At 39.5% G+C, this 18,117-nt stretch overlaps 1 protein-coding gene across 1 annotated transcript in view, besides 2 other annotated features; it reads right to left on the bottom strand.

Moving 5' to 3' along the window:
* Window positions 1–18,117, bottom strand: part of ATP6V0D2 (ATPase H+ transporting V0 subunit d2) — a 55,316-nt gene that overhangs the window by 16,515 nt on the left and 20,684 nt on the right. The window lies entirely within an intron of this gene.
* Window positions 3,075–3,627: an enhancer, noted in NCBI's record as "NANOG hESC enhancer chr8:87146313-87146865 (GRCh37/hg19 assembly coordinates)". NCBI's record gives its function as "activates a minimal SCP1, AML or CMV promoter by ChIP-STARR-seq in primed H9 embryonic stem cells {active_cell/tissue: H9 hESC(primed)}" and the evidence as "EXISTENCE:reporter gene assay evidence [ECO:0000049][PMID:30033119]".
* Window positions 6,755–7,256: an enhancer, noted in NCBI's record as "NANOG hESC enhancer chr8:87142684-87143185 (GRCh37/hg19 assembly coordinates)". NCBI's record gives its function as "activates a minimal SCP1, AML or CMV promoter by ChIP-STARR-seq in primed H9 embryonic stem cells {active_cell/tissue: H9 hESC(primed)}" and the evidence as "EXISTENCE:reporter gene assay evidence [ECO:0000049][PMID:30033119]".

Genomic DNA, 18,117 nt, shown 5'->3' with positions numbered 1-18,117 from the left:
AGGTTTCTGGGCTTGACAGTTAGGTTATAGAGCCATTTATTGAGATGAGAGCATTAGGGGAAGAGGAGGTTGCAATGGGTGCAGATGTTTTAGATGGAATGAGTTCAAGGTAACCAGGAGGTAACCAAGAGGAGATGTCAAGTAAGCCTAAGAAGTGTGTGCCCTGAAGACAGCTGCCGATTCGAGACATTTGGGCGAGCGGGTCAGGAGGGGTTAGTTTAAAGGTGGAAGCTGAAGTCTTGGGAGTAAGTAGGATCACATCGTAGAGTGCATGTAGAGAGTTCTTTCTTGGGAACTCTGGGGAACCCCAGCTTTTAAGGACCTTGAAGGAAATTCAGAGGGATGACTAGATGGGGGAAGGAGAATCAGGGGAGAGAATTTTAGGAAGTTCTAGAGAGTTCTAAGAAGTGATTGGAGAGTCAAAGTCCACATGTAAGTTGAGACCTGGAAGTAGGCATCTGTAGGGTACAGCAACTAAGGGGTCATCAGAGAATGCAATGAAAACGCCTTCAGTGGAGTGTGTCTGTGCAAGGGAAAGGGAGAAGAGGATGGCGGAAGACTGGCCATTGTGTGTCTGAAATTAATGGGACATGGAGGCTTAAAGAATGGAGTTCATGCTGCAAGCTGACCTTGAAGGAAGAGAAAACCAGATATATGGAGATACAGGGGCCAAGGACGCTTTCGATTTTTAGTTTTAATATGTGTCCTTTTAGGGTGGGAGGAAGAGAAGTAAAGATATTTAAGTGCTGAGGGGGAGGAGGCAGTTGACAAGGCAAGGTCGCAGATCAGAAGGAGGAAGGGACAATGCAAACCTAGTCCTCGAGGTTTCACAGTGATGGGAAGCTTAGCCACCTTTGTGAGATACACTTGAAAAATGATACCTTTTTACTGGATGAAAATTTACTTGAACACGTAGAAACATTGTCACCAGAGTCTGGCTGCATGGGGTACAGACTTCCTGGGCAGGGAATTCGTTTCTGGTTGGAAAAGGGGGTCTCCTTCATTGTGGAACTTCTAGAGCTTAACCCCAAAAATTCTAACTAGAGAAGATTTTGAAGCAGGCAATTATCCCTTTATAAAAAGCACATGACTATAAAGTTTCTTCACCTCCTGAACAGCAGTACCAAATTTAGACATTATGGAATTTTAGAATCCTTTTTATCTCTTCAAAAAGATATTAAAATGGAAGTGCTTATTTAACTGTCCCTTTATGGCTCAAAAGCAATTACCTCAGAGGGCAATTGCTAGTACTTAATAATGCTTAGCAGACTCCAGACATTTAATTGTTCCCCACAACCTCCCCTGCAATGTAAAAGCATCTGAGCTGCGAACATTCCTAATTAGCAGAGGACTATTAGAGCAACGTTGACGGGCGACCAGCGTCAATGGTGTGAGCAGGATGCAGCCTGCATATAACACCCAGACCTGCCTCTACAGTGTGTGCATGTGTGTGTATTCAGGATTTTTATTTTTACTTTTTTACTAATAGACAGGCTAAGCTCCATATTGCAATGAGCAAGGGCTTTATAGATGGGGTTCAATTTTATTTCAACTCTTACTGAGTGGCCTTGTTTCTAAAATGGAACAATAATACCAGTTCTTGCAGTGTTCCTCAGAAACATGGAGAACCCAGGGCTTGGCCCACAATGAGGGGCAGGGGTGTCTCTTTCCTGTCCCCTCTCTCATCTCCATCACACATAGGTACCAGGTATATAATTATCATTGGCTGTTGGGGTGACAGGGACATAATGTAACCAGAAGACAGTTTACTTTCTCCAGACTATAATCTTTGTAGATCTCCAGGGGGTCATGCATGCAGTGGTTGGGAAGCAAATAATTGCTGACATTGCCTGAGTAATTTTTGAACAAAAAGACACCAGGATGTTTACCTAGTTCAAACCTCTGTTTTAGATAATTATCCTCATAAGTAGTGACAGAGCCACCCATTCAGTTAGGTTAATTTTTCTCCTACTCATGGTCTAGACAAATGTCCTTTGACACCTGTAAAAATCATAGTCACCTAAAACTGTGATGAGCAAATTACTCAATTTCAAAAATTTTAGGATATTAAAAAATCTTTAAATGCTGATTCTTTTTGAAGTTTTTACTATGTGGCAGTAATTATATGCACACTCTCACTCAAGCTTCACAACAACTCAATGCTGTAAGAACCATTATTAAGGAAAACTGAGGCTTAGCAGTACTAAATACCTTACCCAAGATCACAGTGCTGGCAAGCAGCAGAGTTGGGTCCCTAAAATCAAAGTGCTGGCTCCCTAGTAGGTTCAGATAAAAGAGCTCAAGCCAGATGATATTTTAACATTTCCATTTGATCTTAGAGCTATTCTTTCTCCTCCTGCTCCCTAGCTTATTTAAGGATCTCAAAGAAAACTATAATATATTTTCTGTATGATAACTACCACATTCTGCTGCTATAACAGTTGCTAAGAGGTCAAATATTATAGAGCCATAATTTGGTAAGTTAGAGGAATTGCTCTTCTCTGAATAAAAATTTTAGTACTTCAGTGTCATTAGCAATAGCTGAGAAATGACTGTCATTCACTAAGCACTCTGGCATGAGATAGAAAAAGAGAAACACCTTCTAAGAAAAACACAGTTCAGTGAAGAAGCTCTCCAGGGTATTACCTCTTCATTGTCACACCCACCCTTTCCCACCCACCACCCCCAGTGTCTAGAAAATGCGAATCAGTTCTCCCACTCTATAATTTTGCCATTTTCTGAATAATATATAACTGGCAGCAGATAATATGTGACATTTTGAGACTGGCTATTTTAACTCTGCTCAGTGTTCTTGAGATACATGTAATACATTCAAGCTGTTGCATGTAAACAGTTTGTTCCTTTTTATTGGTGAGTAGTATTCCATGGTATTGATATACCACAGTGTATTTAACCATTCACCTATTGATGGACATTTGTGGTTTTTTTCTAGTTTTTGGCTATTATGAATAACAACTGCTAAGAACATCTGTGTGCTGATTTTTATATTAAAATAAGTTTTATTATTCTTGGATAAATGCCCTGAAGTGCAGTTGCTGAGTGGCATAGTAAGAATATGTTTAGTTTTTTAAGAAACTGCAAGACTATTTTTCAGAGTAGCTGTCCTAATTTTAGTGCAGTTTTAAAAACTTTACTTCTTTTTAAGTGTCTTTTCCTTCCCTGTTTATAACTTATATTTCCTCTATGTATATCGAGAACCACATCAGACAGAGTAATGATTTTTGCTTCAACTGTGAAATACAATTAAGAAAACTCAAGAGGAGAAAGGGTATATTGTATTTACCCATATTTTTCTCCTTTCTGTTGTCCTTTCTTTTTTCCCATTGTTTCAAGATTACTCTTTTTATCATTTCCTTTGTGTTTCAAAAGCTTCGTTTAGCCATTCTTTTAGAGTAGGTCTGCTGGTGACAAAATCTCCTAGCTTTCCTTCATCTTAGAATGCCTTGATTTCCCCTTCATTCCTGAAGGATTTTCACTGAATACAAAATGCTATTTTTTTTTCTTGTCTTTAGTGCTTGAAAAATACTACACCGCTTGCTTCTGGCTCCATGAGGTGCCTAATGAGAAATCTGCTATGGTTCAAATTGCTTCTCTCTTATTGGTAAGGTGTCATTTCCCATAGCTTTCAAGATTTGTTTTGTCTTTTTTTCTTTCAGAAGTTTGATTATGACATGTCTTGGCCTGGATTTCATTGGATTTTTCCTGTTTGGGGTTTCACTTAGCTTCTTGAATCAGTCGGTGTGTGTCTTTTGCCAAATGGGGGGAATTTTCAGCCATTATTTCTTTGAATACTTTTTCAACCTTTCTTTTTTTCTCCTCTCCTTCTGGGATTTATTACTACTCTGTGTGTGGCCTCTATTGACACCAAGGCTAAAAAGAGGGCTCATTACTGCTGGGAGGTGGTCAAAGGCCCAGCTTCCCGCTCAGCCCTCTCTGACCCCACTTACAGCCGGGTAAGGGTAGACATCTGGGTCCCCATCGAGCATTTGCTGACAGGGGTGGGGTTGCAGTTTTTCCCATGGCACTTGGTTAGAGTAGAGCCATTATTATCTGAAGATTTTCTGCTTGTGGCCAGGCGCGGTGAATCACGCCTGTAATCCCAGCACTTTGGGAGGCTGAGGTGGGTGTATCACAAGGTCAGGAGTTCAAGACCAGCTTGGCCAATATGGTGAAACCTCGTCTCTACTAAAAATACAAAAATTAGCAGGGTGTGGTGGTGGGCGCCTGTAGTCCTAGCTACTCGGGAGGCTGAGGCAGGAGAATAACTTGAACCCAGGAGGCGGAGGTTGCAGTGAGCCGAGATGGTGCCACTGCACTCCAGCCTGGTGACAGAGCGAGACTCCATCTCAAAAAAAAAAAAAAAAAAAAAAAAAGACTTTCTGTTTGTGAAGCTGCCCCTTTCCTGGTCCTTTGGCTAGAGAGAACAGCCTTTCCTTGGGGGCATTTTTGTATGTGCCCATTGGCTTTCTGGGCTGTAAGATTTTCTAGCATCCAGTTAGGAGTGTATGAGGCAACCCGAAGGAAAATCCGAGAAACTCAAAACCAGGTCATTCCCTGGGTCTCAAGTTTCTTAGCCAATCAGTCTTCTTCTCTCTATCTTTTAGTCATTAGTGTCCTCCAAGACGCCAATACTTCAACCACAATAAGATAGCATCTTACCCCATTTAGAATGGACAGTATTAAAAAGACAAACAATAAAATATGCTGGAGAGAGGATGTGGAAAAAAGGAGATTCTTATACACCATTGGTAGAAATTTCAATTGGTACAAGTACTGTGGAAAACAGTAGGAAGATACCTCAAAAAACTAAAAACAGAAACACCATACAATCCAGCAATGCCACTACTGGGTATCTATACTAAAGAAAATAAATCAGTATGTCAAAGGGATACCTGCACTCACATGTTTATTGCAGCACTATTCACGATAACAAAGATATGGAATTAACCTAAGCATCCATCAACAGATGAATGGGTAAAGAAAGTATGGTACAGATACACAATAGAATACTATTCTGCCATAAAAAGAATAATATGTCATTTGCAGCAACATGGATGGAATTGCAGGTCAATATGTTAAGTAAAATAAACCAGGCACAGAAAGCCAAATATCATATGCACTCACTCATATGTGGGAACTAAAAAAAGTTGATCTCATAAAGGTAATGAGTAGAATGACAGATAATAGAGGCTAGGAATGGTGGGTGGTAGGGAGGGGGAGAGGAGGAGAAGTAGATTAAGAGGTATAAATATACAGTTAGATAAAAGGTATAAGTTCTATAGTTAGACATAAGAGCAGAGTGACTATAGTTAACAACAATGTATGACATATTACAAAATAGACTGATGGTTCCCAACACAGAATGACAAATACTCAAAGTCATAGACTCCTCAGATACCCTGACCTGATCATTACACATTCTATAACTGTAAAAAAAAAATTGCATGGACCCCATAAATATGGAAAATGTTATTTATCAATTAAAAAAACAACACACTAACACTTCAAATGGTCCTGTGGTTTGTTTAGTGCCCTAAAGCTTTTTATACCTCAGGGCTATACATCATAGTATGGTGTAAAAGGATGGTGGAAAAAGAACAGTTGTGATAAGGAGGTGATAAGGGGAACCCAGCACAGTGTTCTGACTTCAAGTACTCTTAGGTAGTTTTAGTATATATACATATAGGCACTCAGGATCTGGAAAGTGGTCATCTTATAATCACTCCTGTCTCCATAACCCTTGGAAAGCATCCTGTAGACCTAGGGGGACATGTATAACAGTGGAAAGGTTGCTGTCTTATAGAATGTTCAAAATTATTCACTAAGATAGGTTTTAATTTCTTTCTTTTTTAAATTTCAATTTTTGCATATGTTTTTAAATGGACATAAGGCTGGGTGCAGTGGCTCCCAGCTGTAATCCCAGCACTTTGGGAGGCTGAGGTGGGCAAATCACCGGAGGTCAGGAGTTCGAGACCAGCCTGGCCAACATGGTAAAACCCCATCTGTACTAAAAATACAAGAATTAGCTGGGCGTGGTGACAGGTGCCTGTAATCCCAGCTACTCGGGAGGCTGAGGCAAGAGAATCACTTGAACCCGGGAGGCAGAAGTTGCAGTGAGCTGAGATCGCATCACTGCACTCCAGCCTGGGCAACAAAGTGAAACTCCATCTCAAAAATAAATAAATAAAAATGGCTGGATGTAGTGGCTCACATCTGTAATCCCAGCATTTTGGGAGGCTAAGGCGGGCAGATCTTGAGGTCAAGAGATCGAGACCATCCTGGCCAACATGGTGAAACCCTGTCTCTACTAAAAAATACAAAAATTAGCTGAGCGTGTTGGTGTGCGCCTGTAGGCCCAGCTACTGGGGAGGCTGAGGCAGGAGAATCGCTTGAAATCAGGAGGCAGAGGTTGCAGTGAGCCGAGATTGCACCACTGAACTCCAGCCTGGAGACAGAGTGAGACTTCGTTCCCCCCACCTCCCACACAAAATAAATAAATAAATATAAAATTGACATAATATATTAGAAAAATGCATATAATATATAATTAAATATGTTATATTATTTTGGGCTTGTGTGTTAATGATAGGTGTATGATTAAAGGATGGTGATCACTGATCTAAGGGGACAGAAGGGACATTGGACACTATATGACAAAGAACCGCTGGCCACACTGTTATTTATCTCTAAGATAAAATCCAAAAGGGTCTCTGAGGTAGAGAAGGGGAGAGTTAAGATTTCTGATGTGCTTACAAGTACTGAGTCAGAGTGAGCAGAGACGGAGATAAACCCAGACCTTGAGAACAGAATTGAAAGGGGAAGAACTGGGGTGGGGGGTCGTTATGGCCAGCAGACATGCTCCGAGGCTTCCCCATAGGGCACATGGGGAAGAGGACAGAGGCAGGCAGCTGGGCATATTATTCTTCCTTTCAAGTAGCAGCAGGAAGGAGGGCTTCACTCTGGGGAGGGAGTGCTTCTCAGGGTGCGTCTGCCAGGATTTGCAATGGTATTTGATGAGTGTAAACACCCCTCCAGGACACCTTCCTCCTCCTTCCTGGAACTTGAATTCTGTGATAATTTGTCTTATGGTTGCCCTATCTCCCAGGCCTGTCGTTTTCTTTTTCTATTTAGCTCATTCTTTATTTTGTTTTTCCTGTCTGTCTCTTAAGCATTGCACACACTGAGATTAGAAAAACTCTGTTTTGTAAAATTATTTTTAACATAATTTAATTTTTAGAATAATTTTAGATTCATAGAAAAAATTGAGATGATGGTACAGAGAGTTTCCATATACCCCATACCCAGTTTCTTCTCATTAACATCTTAAAATAGTATGGCACATTTGTTATAATTAATGAATCGATATTAACATATTGTTATTAATTAAAGTCCATACTGTGTTATTTCCTTGGTTCTTAAGGGATAGAAAGGAGATTTTTGCAAGGAAGAAGGAGAAAGAGTGAAAATGGTAAAAAAGAGCACAAAGAATTGTCACAAAGTGAATGGGACAAGGTAACAACAGTAAATGCCATGGCGAATTAGGAAACAGCTGAAAAAATATCCATTGGACTTAGCTATTAGAATAGCTTTTGGTGACCTGATGGGGAAGGAAATAAGACCGAAGTGGGATGAGGAAATAAGTGAGAAAATAGAGAAGTATAGATTATTATTTTCTTTTTTCTTTTCTTTTCTTTTTTTTTTTTTTTTCTTTTCGAGACAGGGTCTCTCTCTGTGACCCAGGCTGGAGTGCTGTGGTACAATCACAGACCACTGCAGCCTCGACCTCCTGGGCTCAAGCAATCCTCCCACCTCAGCCTCCAGAGTAACTGCGGCTACAGGCATGCACCATCATGCCTGGTCAATTTTTTTCCCTTTTTTTTTTTTCCTGAGACAGAGGCTGACTCTGTTGCCCAGGCTGGAGTGCAGTGGCACGATCTCGGCTCACTGCAACCTCTGCCTCCTGGGTTCAAGCAATTCTCCTGCCTCAGCCTCCTGAGTAGCTGGGATTATAGGCACGTACCACCACATCCAGCTAATTTTGGTAGAGATGGGGTTTCACCATGTTGACCAGACTGGTCTTGAATTCCTGACCTCAGATGATCTGCAGGCCTCGGCCTCCCAAAGTGCAGGGATTACAGGCATGAAACACTGTGCCCGGCCAATTTTTTTCCTTTTTTATAGAGACAGGGTCTCCCTGTGTTGCCTAGGCTGGTCTCAAACTCCTGGGCTCAGGCAGTCCTCCCACCTCAGCCTCCCAAAGTGCTGGGATTACAGGCATGAGCCACCATGCCTGGCCAGATTATTCTTTTCAACAAACTTGGCATCACAGGGTGAGAAGAAGTAGACAATTACTGTCTTCACAGGGTCGCTGTGCACACTAAATCAAATTACACATAGGAAAGCAGTTTGTAAATCATAAAGAAGTTGTCACAGTAGGAGCCCAGGCTTTGAAACAGATAAACCTGATTTAAGCCCAGCTCTGCAACTTAAAAACCCTAAGAGTTCAGTTTCTTCAGTTTTGAAATGAAAATATTCATTCAACTTTGAATGGTTGGCATCAGGCTTAGTAACACATATGAAAGCACTCGTAGAGTGCCTTGGATAAAGGAGGACATACACTGTTAGAAGAAGATATTTTCCTGTAAACTGGACTTTGCAGGAAATTATAAGCCACATCATCTTTAATGTAAAACATTTGAAAAGTTTAGTTGAGGTAAGCCTGAGCTTTCTTCATCTCTGTAGTTTTGGATTTAGTTTTAGCTAAGAGAGTTCTTTCTAAATTTACCTATTGCTCTTAGATAATAGGAGATTATCATGTCAGTTGTGGTGTGAAGACAAGAAGCTGAGTGATACAGTCATTTGGAAGGCTGGGACACCAAAAAAGAAGACCATAAATCGTATTACTCAATAGTGTTAAGATACTAGCCCTCAAGTCTGATTTACACCTATTTCATAAAACCTATTACCATCTTGTTTTGTATCTTGTAACCCCAGAGTTGTCTTTGTGTGGTCATTATTTTATATGATGTTTCCTTTAAGTTATCCGAACTTCAAAAAGTTCAATATTACTTCTTTGGAAATGTAATCAGTAATCTCAAAACATTGCTTGCCAACTGTTTGTCAAAACTGATAACAGCTTTCCTGTAAAGAGACCTGAGCCCCTTTGCTAGATGGAGGTACCTCAATACTCAGTCTGAACTTTGTCCTTTGGGCCTGAGAGAACATTTAACTTGGTGATGACAACAGCTTCACTGTGTACACACATTGTGACTAATATTTGGCTTGATCACAGGAGCTACATCCCTTTTATTGTTTGTTTGTTTGTTTATTTATTTATTTTGAGATGGAGTTTCACTCTTGTTGCCCAGGCCGGAGTGCAATGATGTGATCTTGGCTCACTGCAACCTCCACCTCCCAGGTTCAAGTGATTCTCCTGCCTCAGCCTCCTGAGTAGCTGGGATTACAGGCACCCACCACCATGCCCGGCTAATTTTTTGTATTTTTCGTAGAGATGAGGGTTTCACCATGTTGGCCAGGCTGGTCTCTGCCCGCCTCAGCCTCCCAAAGAGCTGGGATTACAGGCATGAGCCACTGCCCAGCTTTATTTTATTTTTTTAGAGACAGGGTCTTTGTCATCCAAACCCAAGTGGCGCAATCATAGCTCACCACAACCTCTAATTGCTGGGCTCAAGTGATCTTTCCACCATGGCCTTCCAAAGTGCTGAGATTACAGGCATGAGCCACTGTGCCTGGCCCAGAAAGCCACATCCTTTTATCAGGCCTTGATTGCTACAGGTTTCCTTTCTACCTAGGAGGCCAGATCCACATCCTTCATCTGCAACATGTAATCTAATTCTTAATGACAACCATTTTGTTTTAGGTGACCAGAGAACTATGTGAGATGTTGGCTAGGTAACAATTATACATACAGAATGTACAAGGATAGGGACATATAATGCATGTTCAGGCTGGGAGCTGTGGCTCATTCCTGTAATCTTAGCACTTTGGGAAGCCAAGGCAGGCGGATCGCTTGAGCTCAGGAGTTTGAGACCAGCCTGGGCAACATGGCAAAGGTGCCTCTCTACAAAAAAGACAGAAATTAGCTGGGTGTGGTGGTGACTGCTTGTAGTTCCAGCTACTCAGGAGGCTGAGGTTGCAGTGAGCCATGATCACACCACTGCACTGCAGCCTGGGTGACAGAATAAGACCCTGTCTCAATTAAAAAAAAAAAAGCATTTCAGGGGTCATTGTTCATGGAAAGGATCGGTGTGTGTGTGTGAAAGGCACCTTTCATTTACGAGTTTCATTGAGGAATTAAATAATTTATAAAAGTACACCAAATATATTTCACACTTTTTCAATGTATGAATTTTCAAATGAAAGTTTTCCTTGATTACATTGGTAAACATTTTTTGTTATACTGTGGATTTGTTCAATCCAGCACTAACCACATATGCTTACATGGGGAAACCCTGTCATATCGCGTGATTTCCTAGTCAGCTGAATTTAGAATATCCCCATAAACATTCTTCTCTCTCTTAAAATTTCACATTTTTGGTAACATTTCTTCCTTCTCTGAAGCTTCCCTTTTTTAAATAGAGGAAGTGAAAATTAAAATAATTTGAAAAAGCAAACAATTTTGCTGTCACACTTGTTTTTCCTTGAAGCAAAATAAAATACTGAAAAGTTACTTACAAGTCAGCATTGCCATAATAGCATATTTTAGAACAAGAATGCTGATAACTTTGCATTTCCCAAGCCCTTGGTTGCTCTGGAATTTTAAGAAACCTCTTCAGTATTTAAGATTCTCTACAATCTTGGTCTAACCCAACTGTTTAGATTAAAAATTCTTCAAACTTAACTTGTCCTTTTCTACATTAATGTCTTGGTTCCTACCCTTCTCCAGAGGTATAAAATTTCCCTTCCTTACCAATCCTTTAAGGCCATATTCTAGTATCATATTTTTCATGAAGCTTTTCAATTGTCTCCAGCTAGAGGTGATATCTTTTTTCTTTCTAAATTTCTGTATTTATATTTATCCTGGGGTGAAATAAATTTTCTATATACATTGGCAGTAGCAGTGATGAACATAAGGACTAGTTAGCTCATTCATTCACAAATATTTAATACATATTTAGTGTGACATAAGGCTTGGATTCCAGTACTAATTCTGCCACTGTAGAGCTGTGTGCTTTTGAGTAAGTCGTTTTACATGTTCATTTCAAACATAGTTATTTACAGATAATAAATAACTATAGGGGAGTGGGAGAGGGAGAGCATCAGGAAGAGTAGCCAACGGATGCTGGGCTTAATACCTAGGTGATGGGATGATCTGTGCAGCAAACCACCAAGGCACACGTTTACTTAAGTAACAAACCTGCACATCCTGCACATGTACACCTGAACTTTATACTATATACAAAAAGATATATATATATATATATATATATATAGGCTGAGCACGGTAGTTCACGCCTATAATCCCAGCACTTTGGGAGGCTGAGGCAGGTGGCTCACTTGAGGTCAGGAGTTCGAGACCAGCCTTGCCAACATGGCAAAACCCAGTCTCTATAAAAATACAGAAATTAGCTGGTCATGATGGTGCATGCCTGTAATCCCAGCTACTCAGGAGGCTGAGGCAGGAGAATCACTAAAACTCAGGAGGTGGAGGTTGCAGTGAGCCAAGATCACACACCTGCACTCTAGCCTGGGTGACAGAGTGAGACTCTGTCTCAGAAAAACAAATAAGTTAATGAATTAAATTAAGTAAATAATACATAAATTAAAAATATATTAAATAAAATATATCTTTATATATTTATGCAAAAATTATAATAGATTACATTTTAAAAGGACAAATTGTGGACAATACATGTATGATCTCACTGTTCTAAAACAAACAATAAGCCCAACTATGCATATTTATATTTGTGTTTAAATATAAACACATGCACATATAAAAAAACATTTTTCACAAGGAAAAAGTTTAGAAAGATATGCATGAAAGTTTTGAGTGGTTACCTCTGGGCTCTGTGACATGAATTCTGAAGTATAGTCTTTACTCAATCCATCGTCTTATTTCTAAAAAGCCAACAATACTAGTACCACTCCATAGGGTTGCTGTGAAAATCTATTAAATTTAATACAGGAAAGTGATTATAAAGGTACTAACTTGTGTAGTGAGCACAAAATACATTTTAGTAAAAAACCTCTTTCATTTTTTAAACACACGTGCTTATTTTCAGTTAAAAAATAAACAAGTTAAAATAAAACTAGGACAATGGATAAGTGTGGATTTCAGTCTCCATCCTGAAAATGAAGGTTATGGGACAGTCTCAAATCTCTTAAACTAAACAACTGGGGAAGGAGTAGTGTTTTGGAAAACAGGTTATTGGGATCAATATCGCCTCCTGGTGGTTGATTGATGCCTTGCCATACAGTTGCCCAAGCCCACCTTGGTACTGATTTGTATCCCACTCAAAACTGTTGTTGTAGCGATGGCATCCTAAGCTCTTTCACATCCATTACCTTAACATCCTCAACCTCAGACGCTGATTTTGCTGACATGTGGCATCAGCAACCCAACAACAGTAGTGGTGGGGCCTGTGTTTTCTGTTCTCTCTGCTGTTTGCCTCTCTCCAGCCATGTCCACCTACAAACGCTTAGCCTTTCAAGCCTTAGCTTGGGCATCACCTCCTTCATGCCACCTTTTCTCACTCACACAGGTGAACATTATACTCAAATACACAAATAAAATTAGCTACATTTTTTGAGCATGTGTATGGATGTGTGGGTATATTTATATATTGTATAAGTATACATTTTTTTCAATCAGCCAGTTTCAGGGGAGTGTGATCTATGTAGTCACAGAGGACTCAATGCTTGGTTTAATTCTCTGCTGCTGTTCTCTTGAAATCACTGAACATATTTTAAACAAGGAGCTTTATATTTTGCACCGGGCCTCACAAACTATGTATCTGGTTCTGTTTTTAAATTAAACTCACAACTCTATATTGTATATAATTACGATCCCTGTACTACAGATGAGGAAACCAAGGCTTTGAGTGACTAAGGGACATTTTTGGGGTCCTACAGTTGGTATATTGTAGACCCAGTTTAGAGTCTACCTACTGGTTATAAGAATTTCTCACCTGTATCAGGGTCGCCTGGAGGGCTTTTAGAAGAGCAAATTCATTGACTGCATTCCAGAACCTAGTAAATCATGATTTTTAAAAGCATGATCTTAGAATCTGCATCTTAAGTAACTCTTCCATTGGTTAATGAACAAAGTCTATATTCAATTCGTTTCTAATCTTGGAGTCTCGCATAAGCCTTTACTCATAGTAGTCACTTACTGTTATGCTGATTAAATGAATATCATTCAGTTACAGGGAGACCAAGTATAGCTTTGGCAGAATAGCGCCAGTGTTTTTCAATTCACAAAATGCTTGAGAGTTTTAAGCACTGAAGGTCTTATCAGCAACTACAGTAGGGATGTGTTTGCCCTGCACTTGCTCCCCTTTGACTATTCCCATTGAATCTCTGAGTGCAAAGCCTTTAAGACAGTGCAATCTATAAGACCACAGAAGAACTTTTCCGACCAGAGACTCAGGATCACAAGGGCATGGTGGTGTCAAAAAGCCAATTTCATATTATTAGAAATTTGATTGTTGAAACTGGAATTCAACAAATTAAATATTATGCAAAGTTTGGGGAAAGAAAGACACAAAACTCAACATATCTATGTTCATGACCAGATGGAAGGCTATTTACTCATTTAAAGATGTGGGGAAAATGCTGATAATATACAGAGAAAAACCAAGATTCAAAATTAAAGTGATGATAATGTTAGTTCTTTAAAAATGTATAGAAAAAGAGTATAGGCATATGTCAATTGATGGTGAGATTTAGGGTGATTTATTTACTTCTATAATTTCCTCTAATTTACCATGGTCTTCCTAGTCTCTTTGATAAGAACTAAAAATAAAATCCACTTATCTTACTTGCAAATCCTTTCTTTCCTTAACTTAGAATTCCCAGGAATTATTGTCTGCTTTCCCTCATGCCTCATAAATCAAGATACTAAATCCTGTTAAATCTCTCTCTCAAATGAATCTAATCATATTCCCCGCCTTCCTGTCTCTACCATTCAAAGTTCCAGTCTAAGCTTTTAAAATAGCTTCCTCTATTGTTTCTCTGCTTTAAGTTCCATCCCCTCCATGCATCTTTTATAATACTAACAAAATCATCTTCCTAAGATATACATCCGATCAGCTCCCTCACTTTGCGAAGCAGGAGTTAAAAAGTAAAAACATACAAATAAGCAAAAAAGAAAAAAATGATCACTTTTGGAATGCTATTTGGAGTGACTTGATATCACATCTTAGGCTTTTTACTTAGCAGCTACAAGGACTTGGACACTTTATTTTTAAGTATGCCCCAGGAAAGCAGCATAATAATAGCAATCACCAGTTATTGAATAAGTACTACATGCACAATAATCCTAAGAACAGGTACTCTCCCATTGGCTAGATGAGAAACTAATGCTTAGATGTCAAACTGCCTTTGGCCACACAGTCAGAGGTAGCGGAAGTGTTCAACCACTCTATCACATGGCCACCCAGGGGGAAAATACTTCTCCCCTTACAGCGTGGTGACCATTAAGTGAGGGGGTATCGTCTGCAGCACACAAGAAGCATGGAATTGATAGTATTTTCTGAAAGCCTTCCTGTAGTGACTTTTATTTAGAGACTTAGTGACAAAGCCCTTCACCTGGTCAACCTCTTTACTCTCTTGCCCAAGTCTCTGTTCTCCCTACTCATGTCTAGGTTCCAGCAATATCAGAGATGCCATGTCATCTCCAAACACAAAATCCTTTCATGCCTCACTTATTCTTTCAATCTATGCCAATTTTAAACAATGGCCAAAATTCTACTTTCTCTACAGAATCATTTAAAGTCAAAATTCATTGTTTCAGTCCTCTAGGTTCCTCTCATTGAATGTTCAGCCTTCTCTTATAGCTGTGGCTTAATTCTGTCTTACTTTTACACCATTTGTGGACTTGCTTGCTGCATTAGAATGTAAGCCCTTAGTGAGCCAGAGTTATGTTGTTCATTTTTTGACTATATGGTGATAGGGTGATCAAATGATCTGGTTTTCCAAGGACTTTCCTGGTATCAACACTACAAGTTCTGAGTCCTGGGAAACACTTTGGGTAAACTAAGGTGTTCAGTACCCTAATGTACAGCACACCACAAAGGCTGTAAATGGTTTATTATGTGTCATTGGGATATTTTAAAACTTTAATTAGCCTTTAGGAATGAATCTTTAAAGATTTCTTCAGTGTGTGGTCCTTAACGTCAGATTCTTAGTAAACTGAGAATTAGGACTTTAACCTAGGATTACTCATTACTGTTTAAGTACCGAAGATGACATTTCCTTGGTCATCCTCTACTCAGAAATTTTACAGCCTCTGAGGTGGGATACTTTGAATGCTTGAGAGATTATTTTTAAAAAGATGCCTGGTTTCAAAAGAGATGAGAAGTTGAAATGCTGATGGAAAATGTTCAATAGGAAGGAGGAAAAATAAAACAACCAAGGCTTATATTAAATGATCTCTTCGTTAAAATGTTATTGCATTCATTCCTTTGTTTCACACAACTGTGTATAATTATAGTATACAAACCCTCCAGCAGATCTTCCTGCTATTAAGTATTTAAAAATATCCATTCCAGATTTTCAAAATAAGTTTCACATGTACAGTAATTATATCTCATAAAATGTGCAATGCTTAAGATTGTATTTATTATACCAACTTAAATTTAGACTGTCTCTAATAAAACAGATTTAATCATTTGTATAACGTTGTCTCGGGCATTTTCTAATAGGACAGGAAGTTACTTCATTTGATGGAATTTCATGGGTGCTAGAGAGACCCTCGAATTTGCAAGATATACTGGAAGAGAGATAAGAGAAATGGTTTCAGAACTGTGGGATACCTTTCCACCATTTGTATATTCTTTTTTCTTTCCTCCTTCTCCTTCTCCTTCTCCTTTTCCTTCTTTCTCCTTCTCCTCCTCCTCCTCCTCCTCCTCCTCCTCCTCCTCCTCCTTCTTTTGAAATGGTGGAGTCTTGCTCTGTCACCCAGGCTGGAGTGCAGTGGCACGATCTCAGCTCACTGCAACCTCCACTTCCCAGGTTCAAGCAATTCTCACGCCTCAGCCTCCTAAGTAGCTAGGACTACAGGCATGCGCCCCCACACCTGGCTAATTTTTGTATTTTTAGCAAAGACAGAGTTTCACCATTTTGGCTAGGCTGGTCTCAAACTCCTGACCTCAAGTGATCTGCCCACCTCGGCCTCCCAAAGTACTGGGATTACAGGCATGAGCCACTGTGTCTGGCCATATATCATTTCTTATTGTAATAAACCTCTAAGGTCTACAGACAGCAACTGAATGCTGCCAGGGTTGCTAGTCACAAGACATCACATGACATGATGGGACAGATCATGGATGGAGATTCAGAAGACCTAGGCTTTGGTGCTATCTAGTCTCTGACAGGGAGATAATGCTATCTGTATAGGTAACTGTCAACAGAAACTCATGGAAGTATTTGTGAAAGTCACCTTCAAGTAATCAATCTGAGGCCCCCTGATTAAACATTTTAAATCAGATGTGCACCTCAGTATAACCTGGGTGCCTTCAAAAATACACATGGGCTCCATTCCAAGGCCAACTAGATCAGAATCTACTGAAGTAGGGGTCAAGAATATGAGTGGTTTTTGAAGACCGACAGATATTTCTGATTTGTTTGCCTTATTATAAACTAGGAGGACAGTGGTGAGATCATTATCTTGCTAGACTGATAGACCTGGAATGGAATCCCTTCCATGTCTCTTACCTTTGTAACTTTGGAAAATGCATTAATTCATTGACACTCCATTTCCGTAATTTTAAAATTGGAGATATAAACACCTGTTTTGCAGGGTTCTTGTGTAGAGGTGAAGGTAAAACATTTAAGTCAGAGTAAATATGTTCAGGGGTCTGATAAGTAGCTTAAATACAAGAGTGTTGGAGACTGTGGCTAATGGAAGAATGCAGCCTTGACAAAAAATTTTTTTAATTTATTTATTTAAAGAGACAGGGTCTTGCTGTGTTGCCCAGGCTGGTGAATCAAACTCCTGCACTTAAATGATCCTCCTGCCTCAGCCTCCTGAGAAACTGGGACTACAGGTGCAAGCCACCACACCTGACTTCAAAGTGTTTTTTGTATGTTTGTTTTTGGTTTTTTTTGAGACAGGGTCTCACTCTGTCACTCAAGCTGAGGTACAGTTGTATGACCATGGCTCTGCAGCCTCAATCTCCTAGACTCAAGCAATCCTCCTGCCTCAGACTCCCCAGTAACTGGGACTACAGGTATGTACCACCACACTGGGCTAATTTTTAAATTTTTTCTCTTGTAGAGACAGGGTGTCACTATGTTCACCAGGCTTTTCAAACTCCTGGCCTCAAGTGATCCTTCCACCTTGGCCTCCCAAAGTGCTGGGATTACAGACATGAGCTACTGTGCCTGGCTCAAAGTGTATTTTTTAAAAGTTATTTTTTAAAACACTGAGCTGGCCTCACAAAATGTATCTGCAGGCATGACATCCAGTTTTACCCCTAACATAATGGTCAATAAAAAACTAATTTTCAAGTGCTATATAAAATATAAACTGCTGAGTTATCTGGATATATTTTTCTAGCTCCGTGTAAAGTACTGCTGAATGCAGGATTCTATATTGATTCAACAAATATTCAATGCCCATTAGGTAATAGGGAGTCCAGACAGAGATACTAAAAGCACTAATTCAAAGCATGTATAGCCAATAGGAAGAGTAGATAAATTAAAATATATCCTTTAGTAACAATACTGATACTACCAAAACCACCTTTCCAATTCTAATTTTGTGTTAGCATTCCACCCTGGGCTTTGTGATTATCTGTATTTTTGTACATAATTTTTAAAAATACTGCTTATAACTAGAAATATTTAAAATTTTAAGTAATTATTTTTGTTTTAGAAACAGTATATTTGTAACACAGTAGTTTGTTGTGA

The sequence above is a fragment of the Homo sapiens genome, chromosome 8 (genome assembly GCF_000001405.40).
Source record: "Homo sapiens chromosome 8, GRCh38.p14 Primary Assembly".
NCBI classification, from domain to species: Eukaryota; Metazoa; Chordata; class Mammalia; order Primates; family Hominidae; genus Homo; species Homo sapiens.
The sequence above is the reverse complement of the archived record's forward strand: the minus strand, read 5'-3'. Positions and strand labels throughout refer to the sequence as shown.